We start from the raw sequence: 19,562 nt of genomic DNA, 5'->3' as shown, positions 1-19,562 counted from the left end.
AGGCAGAACCAGTCACAGGCTGGAGCCTGTAAAAGCCTGTGATTAAGGATATGAGGCAGACCAATATGCATTTCCATTTAAGGTCAATCTGTATCGGGGTGTTATCAGTCAGCCTTTGTACGTCTCTGCTCCCAAACTGGCATTTATAGTCCCATTGTGCATGCTCATTCAGACTGCACTGATTCTATCCATGCACATGTGATTCCATGGAGGAATCTATAAAATTACAATTTCTCAATTTCTACCAGTTATAGAATTCATACTAGAACTTGAGAATAAAAAGGGCTGAAGACATTGCATATATCATACCAGAATTCCCTACAAGCATCAATAATAGAGAAATCAAAGATTGAATTTAATAGTGTCCTCTAGAGAGCCTTTACCAATCAAGCCTAAAAATAGTTTGTTTTTTCTGGTATAAACTTAAAAAAAGTTTTAAAACCTAGATCACATTTTCAACTCGTTAGGTAACAAAAAAGATCAACACTTAAGATATGAAGTAATTTGGGAATTAATAACAAATTATTTCTTCTGTCTTCACAGTTACAAAGAAATCATGGTATCAACATAAGTATTTGTTTTAAATAATCCATTTTTATATTGCTATTTAATTTGTAATCAATTTCAATAAGTACCTTTAAACAAGACTTCTATAAAACACAACACATTAATAAATATGTGACTGCTAAGACAAGTCATATTCTAAAAATTACAAAATATCAAACCTATTATCACTGTTGATCACTGAGAGACCAATTTTACACATCAATTGAGACTGGCAACAGCCTTGTTTTTCCCTGTCAATGCCTTAAAAAGCCTTAGAACAATTCTATCAAAATGTAAATTTACTTTTTCTCATAGGAAGATTTTTAAAGAGAGGTAGACTTAATTTTAATTCTTGTAATAAAGAATACAAGGATATTTATAAGAAGATAAGTCAGAAAATATTCCTGGTCAAACAATATCTTTTGGACTTCTGGATGACCAAAATTTGATTGTCTTCCAGTCAATGACTGCATGCCTTGCCATGTATGGAGAGTGATTATTTTAAAAATACTTTTAAAACTTGTCATTTAAAAATTATTGCACAAGTCACTTAGAAATATGGATAGTGATTTCTAAAAGTTAGTATATACATATTATGTCTTAATTCAGTTACAAATGAAATGGACTTTTCAGTTAAAATCTGTTGTCTGTCCTACTCTATCTATCCAATGTTCCTCATGCTTTTTTGACCTCATCTTTAGTCACTCTACTTATTGGACTCTTTCTTGGTCCTTCAATTATCCCAATGTTCCTCAGGGACTTTGCATATGCTATTTCTACTTGTAACTATCCAGAGAGAAACTGAACCAATTTCCTCCTTCTTTAGGGTGTCTGATCAAATGTCCCCTTAGTAAGTGGCTTTTCCTGACTTCCCCATAGACAATAGAAATTCCTCACTCCACATTCCAAAACTCCATTTCTCCCTTACTTGCTTTATTTTTCTCCATAGCACTTAGCATTACATAGCATATTACATATTTATTTGTGTGTCATCTTATCTTCAATAAAATGTTGTTTTGCTCATTGCTATAGCCCTACCATTAGAGCAGTCTCTGGAAAGTAGTAGGTGGTCAAAAATATATATTTAAGTCGATAAACTTCATTAGACAGCCATGGATTTTGATGGGCAAAGCATCATATTATGCACTGAGAATGTATCAAACAAGAATAAAGAATACCTTATATGAAAGAAACTTAGAGATTAGTGGTGTAAATAGATAATTTTCTATATATAAGACAGAATATAGAAATTTTAAGAAAAATTACAATATATGAACTGAGGCCGAGTGCAGTGGCTCACAACTGTAATCCCAGCACTTTGGGAGGCCAAGGCAGGCAGATCACCTGAGGTCAGGAGTTCAAGACCAGCCTGGGCAACATGGTGAAACCCTATCTCTACTAAAAATACAAAAATGAGCCAGCCATGGTGGTGGGCACCTGTAATCCCAGCTACTCAGGAGGCTGTGGAAGGAGAATCGCTTGAACCTGGAGGCAGAGTTTGCAGTGCAGTGAGCTGAGATTGTACCGCTGCACTCCAGCTTGGTGACAGAGTGAGGCTCTGTCTCAAAACAAACAAACAAACAAACAAACAAAAATATATGAACTGAAAAGATAGAAGGGAAAGAGCAATTTGACTTAGAAACTGGAGAGGCATTTAGGAAGGATGTGGCATGTGAGTGAAACCTTCAACAGAGAGGTGTGAAGGTGCAGGTGAAGGCCATCTATCAACAAGAAGATAAATAGGCAAAGGCATAGAGATAAGAGAATATAGTGAATTTCAAGGACAATTCGTAGCTTTTTTGTTTATTTGTTTGTTTTTTTGAGATGGAGTCTAGCTCTGTCACTCATGCTGGAGTGCAGTGGTGCAATCTTGGCTCACTGCAACCTCCACCTCTTGGGTTCAAGCGATTATTGTGCCTCAGCCTCCCATGTAGCTGGGATTATAGGTGTCTGCCACCACGCCCAGCTAATTTTGGTATTTTTAGTAGAGATGGGGTTTCACCATGATGCCCAGGCTGGTCTTGAACTCCTGAACTCAAGTAATCCTCCCGCCTTGGCCTCCCAAATTGCTGGGATTACAGGCATGAGACACTGCGCCTGGCTGACAATTGGTAGCTTGATAAAGGGTAGAATATAGGTGGTACCAGGAAGAGAAGAAAGTAGTGGGCAGATGACAATCATGTAAATTTCTACATTATAAGGTCTTGCTTGTACTCACTTTCTAGTTCAGTGATTCTCAACCTTCGGGAGTATGAAGTTTTTTTTTTAAAAAAAAGAATACCAAAACATAATGAGGGCTGCATGTACTATAGTTTTTTTTTAAAGTAAAATATATGGTATAAAAAGCTATTACAAATGCAGTACACCACCTTTTAAATACATTTGTTTTTATTAAACATATTTTAGAACTTTAAAAGCATATATGTATGTATATGTTTATGTATATATACACGTGTATGTCCATATACACATATATTTTTCTTCATTATACAATGATTCATATTTATGTAAATATTAATATGTAGTAACCTTGTAGTAACTCCATGGGCACCCAAGGATCTGAAGCACACAAGCCCAGAGCCACCATTATCTAGTCAATGAGAAACCATTAATGTCTTTGAGTAGGGGAATGACCTGATGAGGGTTGTGTTATGGAGGCAATGAGGGTTAGAGATGGAAGGTACCCTACAGAACACTTTCTCAGTGCAATCTACTAAACTTACAGAAGAGATTGCAACCCACAGAAATAATAGATAATTGGCCAAGACTATAAGAAGAGGGCTATGATGACTAGTATTTAGATTTCTGAAGTGATCTCAAGTATTTCCATGATAATATGGATAAGGTCGATAAGCTCACCCAAAGATATTATTAGGAATAAAAAATACATGATCTGTTCCAATTCAGTAAAATAAGATGAAATGTTACATATCTGAAACTCGATTCACACTGTTTTCTTTGCCATGGCACAGGTATTGTGCTATTTTCAAAATCCTATGGCTTCTACTCTACTTTTTCCTCTACGTCAGTGTTTTAAAAACATATTCATTTTTTAAAAATGTACCTTCATGTGTCTTTTATAAAACTCCAAAAATGTTTTCTCAAGGTCATGTGGAGTTTCAGCAAGGGAGGTTACAGGTTTTCCTTGTTGTATACAGAAATTTTTGAAAATTTAAACATAAACTTCACAGTTAAATAAATTTTGTTATTATATATGTATAAAAACTTAGTATTTAAATGGACTCAAAAGTTAAACATTAATTCCCAAATCAATCCGAATTTTAAAAAAACAGGTTTGCATGTATTAGAATTCCTTAAATTGGTCTGTACCTGTTTGGCTCTGGCAATATCAGCATCTGATATATGCAAACATTTTTTAATACCACTCAAAATATTCTGTATACAGTTGAAAGTATTTAATGCAGTTTTGCACAAGTAAGATCTGCTATTTGAGTGAACACTAAGCTGTTCCTTTTACCTAGCAATTGTACTATCAGAAGCAAGGCAATGGGCACTCTTCCCTCCCTCTCCTCCTCTTGTATAGTGAATTATAAATAACTAATCTCAATATGAGTAGAGAATGAATTTCAAAGCCCCACATGAATCTTCAAAGGTTTAGTACAATTTGTACTTTAAAATCTCTCTCATAAGTATTTTTGTTCTCTCCTTTTTCCTCAAACTCCTGACATAGCCACATGCACCTTTACTATTCCTTTTGTCAGATCCTCTGAAAGGAAACACTTATTTTTACTAAAAGATACCATATTAAATCTTTGGATAATGAGAAAAATTAGAAAGTTGATTTATGTACTATCTCATTTTTAAAGAAAATTGTAAGAAGACTTTCCTTCTTTCCTACAGTGAGGTTTTCTTGAATGTACAATTATTGCCTTAATTGGATTACAATTGCCTCTAGGTAAGTTTATGCCTTTTATATGATCAAAAACCCACGCATAAAAGATATGACTGAAAATGGAAATGCCCTGGATTTTGGTGATGGGAAAATTCCAGTTTTTCTGTTTACGCATTGGAATGCAAACCATTGTATTACATTCTACTTTTGCAAATATTGTTAGTTTAAGAAATTCATTTAAGGATTCTATTTGCTTTTATTGCTAAGCTTTCTATATACTTTAATTTTATTATGTTCCTGCTCTCTGATATTTTATATTATTAGAATATAGAAAAACTTAATGCAACATAAAATAGTTGATACAATTAAATTTAAGTAACACATTAGTTTTTTTAACTGAACCATTCCAGTACACCCTACTGTGTTTATGCCTGTATAATTATACATCTTCTGACTTGTCTCATGTAATTCACAATTTCTTCCTGCTGCTTAATCGCAGACTTCAGTGAGCACATTTTAAGGGGAGACACTCAGTATAATTTTTCTGTGAATCTCTTATTTTCCATGTGCATTAAGGCATTGATAATCCACAAGGAAAAAAAATGAGGGATATATAAAAGATACAGGAGTAAAGGCACAAGATGGTTTTCAAATCTATGCATAATTTAGATTCATTCTTGTAAGAGGAAATCACAAGAAAATTAATCAGCAATATATGTGTAGACTTCACACCAATCATTTTTACCTGAAAAAAGTAGCAGTTATCATATATTGTTTCTTTATCACAAGAAAGAACTGGCATCAAAAGGCAATCAAGCTTGCAGAATCAAACTGGCAGCCTAGCCCTCAGAGCTTTCTGTGGTGCATGAAACTTCTTTGAACAGGAGAAATGTTAGTTTTCAGATCTTAGGTGAAAACAGACCAAAGAATAAATTATCGCACTAAAAATTATCTTTATATGATTTATTGGCTTTTTGATAGGATAATTGTGACTGATAGACTTTGATTTTCAAAATATTTGATAACATTTAAAGACATCAAAAGAAATAATGAAAAAGTACAGACTTTGAGTACAGAGTAAGTTGCCGTTACCTGTCTATGACGATAAATAGAGACAGTGACAGACCATTTTGGGCTAAATATGGTATTATTTACTTTAGACAATAGAAAAGATAAAGTGATAAAGAGTTAAACTTACTAGAGAGAGGTGATTGTAAAGCTTTTCTTGAGAGGCATATTGCTTTACCGTAAAATAGTGTTATAACAATCTTTTGATTTTTAGCAAGATCCTGATAGCTTTCAGTTCCATAATAATCTTTGTTCTGGACTTTACGCCAGGGTAATTGTGCTGCTCCTTTTCAGCCAGAATCAGTTCCTTTAGGGAAGACTGCAGATGACTCCTTTTAACCCTTTGAAATGGTGCCTGTAGTGAATTATGTCACTAGCATGCTCTGGACCAAGAAGTTTGGCAATGAATATCCTGTTAAATATTTAGCTTGTCATTCACAATTAACTCTCTCCCCTCCATTCTGAACTGCTTTCTACTCCCTAAGAGTTGTAATTGAAATTGGATGAATAACGAGAAGTTTTAGGCTAGCTTCCCAAACCTTTCAATAGACTTCCAGGAAAGAAAATCTATCACTCCTAGAAAAGCAAAAAAGAGAACTGTCCAGTGATCATGCCTGAATGAAGGATGCTGAGCTAGACTGAAATTGCATTTGATCTGTTTCTCTGTTGATTTTGTAAACCTTTCCAAGGGTTTCCATGGTAACAAGCGAATTATCCCCTCTGCCCTCAACATCTTTCATGCATGTTACAGGAATAAAGATAAAGGTTAGGGTGAGAAAAGCTACAGTATCTTTTCTACTACCAGGATGTATCTGAAGAAGTCATGATTAGTCTTTTAAGAAATCAAGTATGTTTTCCCTACCCCAGTGATATGAAAAAGTTGGGTCAGATTTTACTTACATCTCTGATGTCTGCGTTTGCTCTTGTACATGGTCATTTTGAAAAAAATTAGACTTTCTAAGAAGTAATTGATTTGACCACGGAGACAAAGAGACGGGTTGTGCTCCTGCTTTGCAGTAAGACTGTTGCTCACTGACAGAAGGTAACCAGCAATCACACAGTGAAAGCCAGGGTAATACCATTCTCATAAAATTACAGGGGAGATGCTACAGCCTGTAACTACTCTGTTTAATGTAAATCTTCTAGGGAAAATTGTATTTCCTTCACCTCCCCCGATCCTATAGCAGTTAAGTTCTCTAATGAAATCTGTACTACTAAACTGCTGTCCATGAAGCAATGTTGGATTAAGAATAGATTCATATATTTAGCAAGAATTGCAAAACTGAAAATCTAAATATAAAAACCTTGTTTAGTATTTATATAAATTAAAAATTAGGTTCATATATCTTTTAACCACTATAGAATACTGAAATTTGTATATTATTTTGAAACTCTGCTAAATTCTTTTCTTCTGAGAATCTCTGATACACTTTGTATGTTCAATTATTAAAGCAATTCTCAATTTTAGTTTTGTCTATTTCCCCAGTCTATACTTCTCAGGCAAAACAGAAATTGCACATTTTCACATTTATATCCACAGAACTTTACATAGAAGGTGCACACAATAGGTTCTCAGGCTTGTTGAGTGCCTACTATGTAGCAGGCACTCTGCTCCTGCTTGCAAGAAGCCTCTCCAGAAGCTTCCCCCACCCCCAACCCCTGGGGCCTCAGTTTAGTCCTCAGTTCTCTACTTTGACAGTAGTTGGGGCATATCCCTATCTGAATATGTTTCACACTGTCACTCAAGTGGACAAGGTGGAAGCTCTGCCTTCATTATAGCTTGTACTGTCCTTTTCTGAGAGCAATGCCTGGCATTCAGCAGAAGCCCAGGAACACTGCCTCTCCCAAACACTCCAAATGAGAACATGGTTTCAAAGACACCTTTGGGTGCTGACTTGGGTGTCTGAAATTAGTTGTTATTTAAAATACAGAAGGACCCACATGCTAGTGAAAAATTTCTATGTCATAAGACTTCCTTGTTATGTATTAAGTTTCACCTTTTTGCCAAGAAGCAGAAGTGGAGATACTCAGCTGTTCAAAGTTATTCTTTTTTAAGTGTGAACAAATCCAGGCTACCTACTAGTAGCGGGAAATATCATCTCCATAACTCTTCATAGAAGCATTGTTTCAGTGTAAAGGATTTTTTTTTACTTAAATAATTATATTTTGTAACCACATATACCAAGAATAATATTCTATAAGTTTTCAGCAATATTCTGTTCAGTGTCCTTGACTTTTGATGAACTAAACTCTTTGGTAAGACTGTTTGTCAAAGACCCCTATGGTTATATCTTGCTTTAGGGCATAGTCAGTGTCTGCATTACTGTACATTCCACTGCTGTCTTTCTCTTCCTATTAGAACATACATTTCTGAGGATAAAACTTCATTTTTTTTCCAGAGATGTATGTCCAGAGGTTAGATCAATGCCTGGCACAAAGTAGGCTCTTAATAAACATTTGTGGAATAAATGAGTTGTTGTGTGTGTGTGTGTGTGTGTGTGTGTGTGTGTGTGTCTGTGTGTATTGGGGGGCTGGTGGTATAGAGTCTCGCTCTGTTACCTAGGCTGGAGTACAGTTGTGCGATCTAGGCTCACTGCAAACTCTGCCTCCCAGGTTCAAGCGATTCTCCTGCCTCAGCCTCCTGAGTAGCTGGGATTACAGGTGCCTGCCACCACGCCCAGCTAATTTTTATATTTTTGGTAGAGACAGGGTTTCGCCATGTTGGCCAGGCTGATCTCGAACTCCTGACCTCAGGTGATCCGCCCACCTTGGCCTCCCAAAGTGCTGGGATTACAGGTGTGAGCCACCATGCCCGGCCATGAATAAATTTTAATAAACAAGTTTCAATGATAAAGTCCATACAATCACAAATTCTTTTTCAATAAATTTAGACAAGAGCCAATTCATGTTTATTGACTACAGTAACTTTTTTATATAATTAAAATACTTGTCATTTCACATCTTTTAGTCCCAGTGTTAATTTGAATGCATTCTCTCATTACGTGAGTTCTCAGTATATAGATTTTGATGAAATTGTACATATTCACAGGTATGAAGATCTAATGATGTATTTTAAATTCACAGGAACAAAGCCATATTTAATAAGCAATGTCTCCTTTATAAAAGCTATTTGCTGATTTCTTAGACACCAATGCCATAAGACCAACAAGGCACGAAAACTGTGGCAATTCAATAGAATTAAAACAGTTTTTCTGTTTTAGGCAGTATATAGGTGGTATATATTTATGATATGAATAAACGTGGTGATGATTAGGCAGTAATGGACTAATGACTCAAATGTCATTGATATTAGCATTACTATTTGATTATATACAGTCAAATTTGTAGTTTTTCACTTTTCACACTTTTAATTCTCCATTATGTATAATTAATATCAATCTGAACAGTTTTTGGAAAGACCATGTGACAATTCACTTCATTCATATGTACAAGAAGCCCCCACCCTCCAGCCTCATCGATCATCACACCTATACACCTTAAAATCCACATGTATATATAAACAGATACACACTAAAACAAACAGCCAGACTTGTACTCGTCAATGTTTGGCCCACCTTTCTCCTCCAGACCTTATATCAGGGCTGAGTTTCTTAGGCTCCATATAGGCAATTTCCAGCTCCTCAATCCTTTCTTATGTTACTTTTCTCGCCTCAGTGCATTTAGAGCATCTACTCCTGAACCTCACATCTGGGCCTAGTGGCTTGAATCTTGGAGGGATTGGGGACCTTACATATACCCGGTGAATACAAGCCAACTTCATGAGCACCATGCTGCAGTAGGGTAGGCAGGTGAGAGAAAGGCAGGGGCAGTGGCTGAGGGGGAGCAGAGTCCTTGGTGAAAGTGGAACCTGGGGAACCTTCATTCCGAAAAGTAGGAAGAAAAAATATAGACATAAGGGACAGAGAGAGAAGCTGAAGAGAAGGGCACGTCCAGGCACCCCACTCTTCTTCCTGCCCTCTTCAAGAATCCCAAATGGGCTAGAGTTGTTTTGTTTGCAAAATCAGTTTTATGCCTTAATTAACAAACATTCTCCTCATCTACTCCCTACAATCTGTTTTTCTTTTACTTAAATTGAATCTTTATACTCCACACTTAAAATGCAAATCTAGTGAGCATTGATACATTGGGATAAATTAATTCTCATTAAAAATCAAATAATTGTATCTATACCTTTCATTTATTGATGGAAGGAATCAGTAGAAATAAAAGCCTATAAGATATATACTTTTAATATAAATGTATAATATAAACTGTCCTTTTAACAGTAATAGAATAACAGAAGAAAGGAAGGAGAGAGAGGAAGAAAAGGAAGAAAGAGGGGAGAGTGAGATAGGAGGGAGAGGGAAAGAGGAAGAGAGAAAGGGAAAGAATGAGTGTGTGTGTGTGTGTGTGTGTGTGTGAGAGAGAGAGAGAGAGAGACTATGCAACTAGCCCTATGCTAAATATACATTATGTCACATAATCTTCTGTTACTTGAGTATCTCTATCCCAATTTTGAAAATGGGGAAACTTTAGCCAAATGAGAACACGTAGAGGTAATGGTCAGGGACACAGCATGACTTACATAGTTGTGTTGAGAGCATTTTACCAGGAACTAGGCCAATATGATTTAGGGCTGAATTAAGTGGCAATGCACTGGGTAGCTTCTAGGGGAAACTTACCTAAAAGGGCTCTATGGTGTCACTAGTAATGTACTGAAACCAAGGACATCATGTTTGCCAGAATGTGACACAGGGAGTGAATGCTGTGTGATTTAAAAAGAGCTAAAATTTAGAGAATGTTCATTAGGTGCTGAGGTCTTTTCTAAATGTTATATGCATTATTTCATTGAACACTGAAAACAGTCCTATGATGTACGTATTGTTATTATTGGTTTCATTTTTATTATTCTTATCATCATTCTTATTTGATGCTTCAGTAAAGTGAAGCTAAGAGGTTATGTCTGAATAAAGTGTCACAGAGGGCGAGACATAGTGTCCTGATTAAAATCTGGCTAATATTTCTCCAGAGACAGTTCAACATAACATGCCATGTGAGGTGAAGGGATACTTTGAGTAGTTGTGCAGGAAACAGGAGATGACACCCCACAAGGGACATGTTTCCACAACAACTAGTTGTGCTAAACTACCTTCTAGGAGGGGTGAATCCAGTTGACTGCAGGGCTTCTGGCTTCCCGGCAGGGACATTCAAGTTTGGAGCCAGAGCTGACTTGGGATGACAGAACAGGCCTTCTCAGCTCTGCAGCAGGGGTGAGTACCCTGTCTTACTGGAGTCACCTCACCCCCTCTCTTCCTGATCCTCCAGCCCTCATCCTTTCCTCCAAATGAAACCCTAACTGGATATTTCCAGAAGATCAAATGTATCGAATTATTAGCTCACTCGGAGTATTGACATCTTTATCTGGTTTTCAAGTTAAAACGTGTTGAATTTCATAAACCTTCTAAGTATTTTGTCAAGACACTGTATATAGAGTGTATAGAAATCATTAACTTGAATTTTATGATGGTTCCGTTTCAGAGAATTGCTAGAATAATTAAATATTAAAACCGAAAAGATGCAGCAAAGTTCTGTTGCCCAAATTCTTCATTTACAGATGTCCGATAGAGACCAGACAGCTCCTACAAGTTTGCTGAAAAGATAACTGAAGGAAGATGAGGTATATGAACTCATGCAACTTGGACCATGTACTCCCAGCAGGGGCTTCAATCAGGGCTTCCAAGAGTGATAGGAAGTGATATCTCAACTCTCCTTTCTCAGGTAGGAACAGAAAATGTTTATCAGGTTTAGATGTAAAGTTACTCACAGTTAACCTTTCTCCTAGGTCATTCATATCACCCAGCGCCCCTGATGTATGGGTGGGACCCTTCTCTTACCCTTTCCTCCTTATCTTATCAGCTGCCCCTGTGGTAACACTGGCTTTTCTCCTCTTAGAGATAAATTCTTCCTTCTTTTGAAACACCTCCCTATTCATACAATTCCTATGAATTCTTTATATGAATACTTTCCTCAGGTTTTTTCAAGGATAACAACCAAATAATTTTCAACCCCAGCACAATCACCAACCCATCTTTTCAGCAATTAAACAAATATATATCTGTATCTTTGACACTCATCTATATTAAATTACTTGCTGTCTTGACAACTGTCTGGAGATCTGGACCCACATCCATTCGCCCCAAGTCAAGTGCTGTCCTGTAAGTAGATAATCTAAAAATAGTTACTAAAATATTTAACGGCTATCATATTAAAAACATCTTGTCATTTCATTCAACACCTCATTTTACTTTATTTATCATTGTTCTTTTTTGAATTGAAGGAAATAAAAGACTTTCTTAAGTTTGGTCCAAGTTTTCATTTGTGGTATTGGTTCAAATTAGGGAAAAATAACGATTTCCAGAAAGATGCTTCTTTATTCTTGACTGTTGCTAAAAGTGAAATAAGCAAACAAATCAATTCTGTACTCCTTAGTTTTGTTCAGTTTTTTTATGTATCTGGAAGAGACTTTCATTTTTTTTAAACTATAATTGGGTTTTATTATTAAGCCTTTATTCATTTCTTTGGACTTTGTCCAGTTTCCTATGCATTAATGTCAAAGAAATCTTTACAATTATTATGATTCTGAAATATTTAATACTTACATGTATTAAACAGTTAAAATGTTTATCCTTTATAACTACAATTACAATTGATTTTATTTTTACTGCATCTCCTTAGTGGTAATTGTTTTTTAGCATTCTTGCTTTTGTTGCTTCTCTTTCTCTATATGCTTTCCTTTCAATTTTATCTGAGTTTTATCTTTTTGTAGCCTAAATTTGATTATCCAGACTTAGTTTATCTTCTTGGTTGCCTGATTTTCTCATTTATACTTGGATAAATTTGCAGTGTTTTAAGGATAATGAAATTCTATCTTCTTTATCATATCCTTTGGATGGGTTCAAGTATTTAATGGTTACAAAAGAGTTGAAAAATGTCTTTAATTTCCTAGCGATTATACTTAAAAGTATGAAGGAAATTACTTATGCCTATGTAAATAATTCACCTCCCTTCAATATATTTTTAATAAATGTTGGCTATATTTTACCTTAAAGGTATAACGTAAAATAATCCTGAACCTAAAAAGGTACAAGGTCTCTTTTCGGATGATAGCCACATAAAAGGTACTATCATCTGCAACAAACTACCTCACAGACATATGGAAGTGATTATATAGTTTATTGGAGATGTGCATTGCTATGGTCTAAATGTTTTTGTTCCTCTCCAATTAGTGCATTGAAACCTAATCCCTCCTGTGATGTATTTAAAGGTGGGGCCTTTGGGAGGTAATTAGGTCATGGGAGCAGAACCCTCACAAATGTGATTAGTGCCTTTATTAAAAAGACCCCAGAGAGATCCCTTGCCTCTTCCACCTGAGGACACAAAGAGAAGTTGCCTTCTATTGACCAGAAAGAAGGCCCTCACAAGATACTGAATCTGCCAGCACTTTGATCTTAGATTTCCCAGCCTTTAGAACTCTGGGAAACAAATTTCTGTTGTTTATAAGCCACCCAATGTATGGCATTTTATTATAACAGCCGAGTGGACTAGACAAGCATGATGTGGGAGAATTGCTGTACCATGCTCCCTAGAGATCTTTTACTTATAAAAAATACTTCCTCAGCAGCTCACAACTTTTGTCTCAGAGCATCTCCACTGTGTCCTGAGATGAAGGGATAGTACTGAGTTTATAGGGAATCCTGATGAGAAATTAAAACATCCTTGAAGTCATATTAGTTTCTGTGATCATGAAAATTATGCATAGAATTTTACTATGAAAGAGTTTACAGAATAGGATGTATACACTTATCTATCTACTATCTATCTATTCATCTGTTATCTATTTATCCTATCTATCTATCTATCTATCTATCTATCTATCTATCTATCTATCTATCTATGTACCTACCTATCTTAAAAGCCACAGGGTTGTGAGTGGTAAAGCTTCCTAGCAAAACACGGTTCTGAGGTGTTTGCAGGATGCGTCCTTCCTCAGTGGCCAGATTGTAGCTAGAGAAAATTCTTAACCAAGCACAGAAGACTCAGGACAATGGTGGGGACCAGCAAGTGGCACGTGGCACGTGAAGTAGAGGAAGGCAGAGACATAAAGTAGCAAGTATCCTATTGTACACACTGCTGACTTCTCAGAGTTCTGCCTTCCTCTTTTCCTGGCTGATTCTATCTTAGTCAACGTCTGTCTTTCCTGAAACTTGCCCTTACTTTCTTCTTTCTGGACTCTGAACTAGAGCATCTGGTTTCATCTTTCTATTCTGTGGGGTTTCTTTCCTCTGCTGTGTTTTATCTATATAAAATTCATTGTATTTCTACTTTATTTTATATATGTGGTAGTGGGGCACAAATTCTTCTTGGTGTGAGGCAGGTAATAAATACATGATGCTAAAAAAACGATGAACTGGGATTCTGCACTCCACTGTATGATATCTTGCATATTCTGCTTCAAAGAATATATGTTATTATCATTGGGACTCTATATTATAATTTTACATCATCACCCCTAGAGTTCACTAATGTTAGCTTTATAATGTAAGCAATGAATTAAATATAGATGAGGTATTTTAATTAAAATAGTTCCCTAATTAATTGCAGAAGCTAAATGGAATCATAAAAATGAACAATTATTAAGTGCTTGCTTTGTATGAGGGATTTTGTTTATGTTGCTTTAATTTTAAAGCAGTGATGCGAGGTAGGAGTCCTCATCCTACAGATAAGGGAACCGAGGTTCAAGGGCCAAGTTCAAAGAGCTTGCAAGAAAGAAGCAGAGCTGGAGTGTGTACGTTTGTGAGCTGCAAAAACTGTACCCAGTTCATGATACCACTATCTCATGTGTTGTAAAACTAATTGTCAAAGAAACCAAATTCAGAAAACAGTTGAGAATAGAGAACACTACCTAGGATTTTACTTTAGTTGGAATTATTGGAGTTATTGTCATTTTGGCAAATATACATGCTTTTAAAGTGTCAGACAATGGGAGAATATATTTGATATGTGAGATTTCAATAGAGAATGCATTCTGATACTTACCTATCCTCATACTCCAGAAAAAGAATACAGTGTGTTCTCCCTTGTAAGTGGGAGCTAAATGATGAGAACATATGGACACATAGCGGGGAAAAACAGACACTAGGGCCTTTGGAGGGTGGAGGGTGGGAGAAGAGAGAAAATCAGAAAAAATAACTAATAGGTACTAGGCTTAATACCTGGGTGATGAAATAATCTGTACAGCAAACCCCCATGACACAAGTTTACCTGTATAACAAACCTGCACTTTCACTCCTGAATTAAAAGTTAAAAAGAATTCTAGAGGTGCATATATTGTGATTCTAAAGATATTCAAGTAAAGCCTAATTGGTGCATGAAGTCCACTGAAATGATAATATTTGCACTAATCTAAGGTCCATTATGGACTTGGAGAATGTTCTTCGGGGAAAATAATCAAGTAGGTTAGAATGACCCAGAGCAAATTTCCAATTAAAAAGAGATAACATTATGTCAGAAAATTAGGTGCCCATACACACACATAACCAAACAATTTTGAAAATGTTGGTCTAGACATTAAGAAGATTTATTCATAGTTTAAAAATATAATGCTTAAAATAGACAAAGACCAATACTATGATAAGTAATTCTTTATGGGCTTTAAAAAATATCAATTTCAATTTATGGATCATATTCAGCATATTTTTGTTTCTAAGAATAGTATCAACATTTTTACTCCAAAATTTCTAATTATTTCCAATTTAAAATTTGCATAAATATTATATATTAATAGAATTCATTTCAGCCTGTCTACAAAAGTATTATACACAGCAATCCTGTCCTCCTAATTCCTTTCCTGTTCCTATTTAGTTATAATTACACTACATTGATGAGCTACTTCAGCCTGCTGAGTTGAATAGAATGAATTTTCAGGTATAATTTAGCATTACATAGCCCAAGGGCATTTCAGAAATCCATCTCGAAACCTCATTTTGTGTGTATTTGTGTCTGCTAAAGGGCTCAGAACCACCTGGATATTCTTTGACCTCTTATATGTGTTTCAAAGACAACTATTTGAATAAACTCTGCATTTGCCATTACCAGCACAGCAGTATGTGAACAGTAAATATGTAAATGAAATTCATGATTCTCTTACCATTATAAAAACCGTTTTTAGATGTTTACTTAAACGGCCTTAGATACAGAAACAGAAATTATGGTGGGAAAAAAAGAGTCTCACATTTTATTTTCAAAACTTCTTTAGTTTGGCAAACACAAAATCTTGTATTATTTTTAATATTTTTAAATCATGCCTTGGAAAGCTATAGAAAGCCCACCTGGAGAACACAGTAAATACTTAAATGAATCATTAGAGGATTCACAAAATATGAACACAAATACAGCATGTGAAAAGGTGATTATTCAATTTTAAAAACCTTTGGCTCCCAGCTTCTAAGACCATTTAAAGAAACGTTTGTAGGAAAATAGTATAACAAAGAAGGAACCAAGATTTCAGCTTGTGACTACCTAATCTTGATTCGATGAGGAAAAAAATTTCTTTTTTATGGTTGCCTTTTTCTTGGGTTGATGATCACATGTGTTTTCAGTAGCATAAATAGCTATGTTCCCATCTGGATAAGATTAACCTTTTTTTTTTTAAATTTTAACATTTAGGATTTAACATATGATCCCTCATTTAAATTAAATGAACTTAACTTCAGTCTTTTAAATAATATACTTTGTGCACTTAAATTTTGTCATCTGGTTGATGTAATGCTAAGTAAAAACAGACATGATTGTTCATATAGCTTTTATTTTATTGGGGAATACTGACACTAATCAAGTGATCACAAACTTACAGAATATATTCATTCATGTGATTCATCATCCTGTTCATAGCAGATTTGTGGTCCTTTGACAGTGTATTGAAAAAAATGGCCCTTGACAATGACTGGTCCACTCTTCTCTGAGGCTGAGGGAATGAGTGCTGTATTAGGAGTGTTTAAAGAATGGAGTCATGGGTAACAATAATTAAGCATTAGTGAGAGAATTACTGAGAGGGGTAGAAAGTTCAGTGGAATATGTTGATTTAAGAACAGCATGATGATACATAATTGGTGTTCAACAAATAATGTTGATACATTTTTTGTTTTGCTAAGTTTGCTACCAATTTGTAATCACGGTGCAAACAATTTCTCATTACTCAGATTAAGAACACAATAATTAGTAAATAGAATTCTATACCTCATTACTTCATGCAACAAATACTAAGTATATACTTGTCCAAGATACAAGGGGACAAAGATAAAATAGCCATCATCTTAATCTTAAAATTTTGCTTATAATAGATATGTGATTCATAAGGTTTTCAAAAATAACATTTCTATAAAACTACCAGTTAAAATATCTGTTTATATCAAAGAGAATGAATGTAACCAGTACCCTGACACTTGAAATAATGGTTCTAGTTTTGAAAAGTGGCAGTCAGTGGTGATAGAAAACCCTGTAATATGTCAATAAATATATGACAAGAATTAATTCCATGGAGATCACTGGGCATGACATTTTGGAAATTTTCAGCAGAAGCAGAATAAATTACTTATGTCTTAGAGGATATTATAAAAATGTAAGCTGAGATGTATGTTTGTGAGTTGGTGCCCATGACATGAACAGGTTAGTGACAGCTGAAAAAATTACTCAACATAAAAATTAACTGCTGAAACATATGTGTAAAGACCTGACACATTATCAAGAAACAGTGATTAATCAATATGGCTTCAGAAAATGTAAAAAAGAAAACTTTTATAATAAAAATACCAAATCAAGGCATTTCTGGTTAATCCTAATTCTTCTTGATATTTGTTAATATCTGACGTTAATTATACTTCATATTTTCATACCAGAGTTCCCTCATCTATAAATGTTTCCTCAACTATTATATATTTACAGGACTGTTACAAGAATTAAATGAGTTAATACATAAAAAGTGCTTAGAATAATGACAAGTATAGTGTTAGCTATTATTACTGGCTATACCCATGTAGATGTTCAAAACACATATCAAATACAACATATACAAAAAACAAACAGCCTATTCCGGTGTTTCTGGTTAGATTAGAACATATCATAAGACAATAATTTATTGGCAAATGTGTCCGTTTTTATGACAGTACCATGCCACTTTGATTACTATAGCTTTGTAATATATTTTAAAGTTAGGTAAAATGATGCTTCCAGCTGTGTTCTTTTTGTTCAAGATTACCTTGGCTATTCAAGGTCTTCTGTGGTTCCATACATATTTTAGGATTGCTTTTTCTATTTCTGTGGAGAATGTCATTGGAATTATGGTGAGTATTTCATTGAATCTACAGATTGCTTTGAGTAGTCATTTAAAAAATATTAATTCTTTTAATCCATAAACACAGGCATTTTTCTACTTATTTGTGTCTTCTACAATTTCTTTCATCCCTGTTGTATAGTTCTCATTATACAGGTGTTTCACCTCCTTGCTTAAATTTACTCATGAATATATTTTTTATGATGCTATGTAAACGAGATTGTTTTCTTAATCTTTTTTTCCCAATAGTTTGTTAGTGAATGCTACTGATCTTGGCATGTTGATTTTGTATCCTGCAACTTTAATGAATTTGTTTATCAGTTCTAATGGACTGATATGAATCAGATTTTTGGTGGAGTCTTTAGGATTTCTCTATATAAGATCATGTCATCTGCAAACAGAAAATTCAACTCCTTCCTTTCCAATTTGGATGCCTTTTATTTCTTTGTCTTACCCAATTGCTTTGGCTAGGACTTCCAGTGCTATGTTGCATAGAAGTGGAGAGAGTGGGGTTCTTGTTCCTAATCATAGAAGAACTTTCAACTTTCCACCATTGGTTAAATGTTAGCTGTGGGTTCCTCAGATATGGCCTTTATTGTGTAGAGGTACATTATTTTTATACCTAATTTGTTGAGAGCTTTTTTTTAATCATGAAAGAATGTTAAATTTTGTGAAATGTATTTTTCTTCATCTTTGAGGTGATCATATGGTTTTTCTCCTTCATTATGTTAATACGGTGAATCACATTTATTGATTTACATATTTGAATGATTCTTATATCCCAGGGATAAATTCCACTTGATAATGATCACTGATTCTTTTAAAATGTTGCTGAATTTTATTTGCTTCTATTTTGTTGAGAATTTTTACATCTATGTTCATCAGGAATATCAGCCTGTAATTTTTCTTCTTGTAGTGCCTTTGTCAGGCTTTGGTATCAGAGTAATGCTGGCCTCATAAAATGCGTCTAAAAATATTCTCTCCTCTTCAAGTTTTCATTTGCTATTATATTAATATGGTTTGGCTATGTCCCCACCAAAATCTCATCTTCAATTGTTTTTCCCATAATCCCCATGTGTTGTGGGAGGGACCCAGTGGAAGGTAATTGAATCATGGGGCAGTTACTTCCATGCTATTCTTGTGATAGTGAGTTCTCATGAGATCTGTTGGTTTTATAATGGGCTTTTCCCCTTTTGCTTGACATTTCTTCTTCCTGCCATCATGTGAAGAAGGACGTGTTTGCTTCCCCTTCTGCATGATTGTAAGTTTTGTGAGGCCTCCCCAGCTATGTGAAACTGTAAGTCAATTAAACCTCTTTGCTTTATAAATTGCTCAGTCTCAGGCACTTCTTTTTAGCAGTGTGAGAATGGGCTAATACATTTATCCCCAACAGCCAGCCAGTGTCCGAGATATATTAGTTGCTCTACAAATATTTATGAATCAAATGAGTGTATTAGTTTTCTATTGTTGCTTTAACAAATTACCAAAAATTTGATAATTTAAAACCACACAAATTTACTCTGATGATCTTGGAAGTTAGACATTTAAAATAAGGTGTGGTTGGGCTATGTTATTTATGAAGATTTCAGGAGATAATTTGTTTGCTTGCCTTTTCTAACTTCTAGAGGCTACCTACCACCCTTGGCTCATGGCCTCTTCCTTCAACTTAGTGCATCATCCCACTTCGTGGATCCATTACCATGTCTC

At 35.0% G+C, this 19,562-nt stretch overlaps 1 protein-coding gene across 58 annotated transcripts in view; it reads right to left on the bottom strand.

The window, feature by feature from the left end:
- RALYL (RALY RNA binding protein like) overlaps nucleotides 1-19,562 on the bottom strand; it is a 739,058-nt gene that overhangs the window by 209,417 nt on the left and 510,079 nt on the right. For 3 of the 58 annotated variants that reach the window (NM_001287244.2, NM_001413324.1, NM_001413329.1), the window contains exon 1: nucleotides 6,368-6,501. The exons of the other annotated variants lie outside the window; for them this stretch is intronic. In NM_001287244.2, coding sequence (NP_001274173.1) covers nucleotides 6,368-6,404 — 37 coding nt within the window. In that variant the 5' untranslated portion in view covers nucleotides 6,405-6,501. Of the gene's footprint in view, nucleotides 1-6,367; nucleotides 6,502-19,562 lie in introns of those variants that run through there. 58 annotated transcript variants of the gene reach the window in all.

This window comes from Homo sapiens, chromosome 8 (genome assembly GCF_000001405.40).
Source record: "Homo sapiens chromosome 8, GRCh38.p14 Primary Assembly".
NCBI lineage: Eukaryota > Metazoa > Chordata > Mammalia > Primates > Hominidae > Homo > Homo sapiens.
This window is presented reverse-complemented; position numbering and strand designations above follow the sequence as displayed.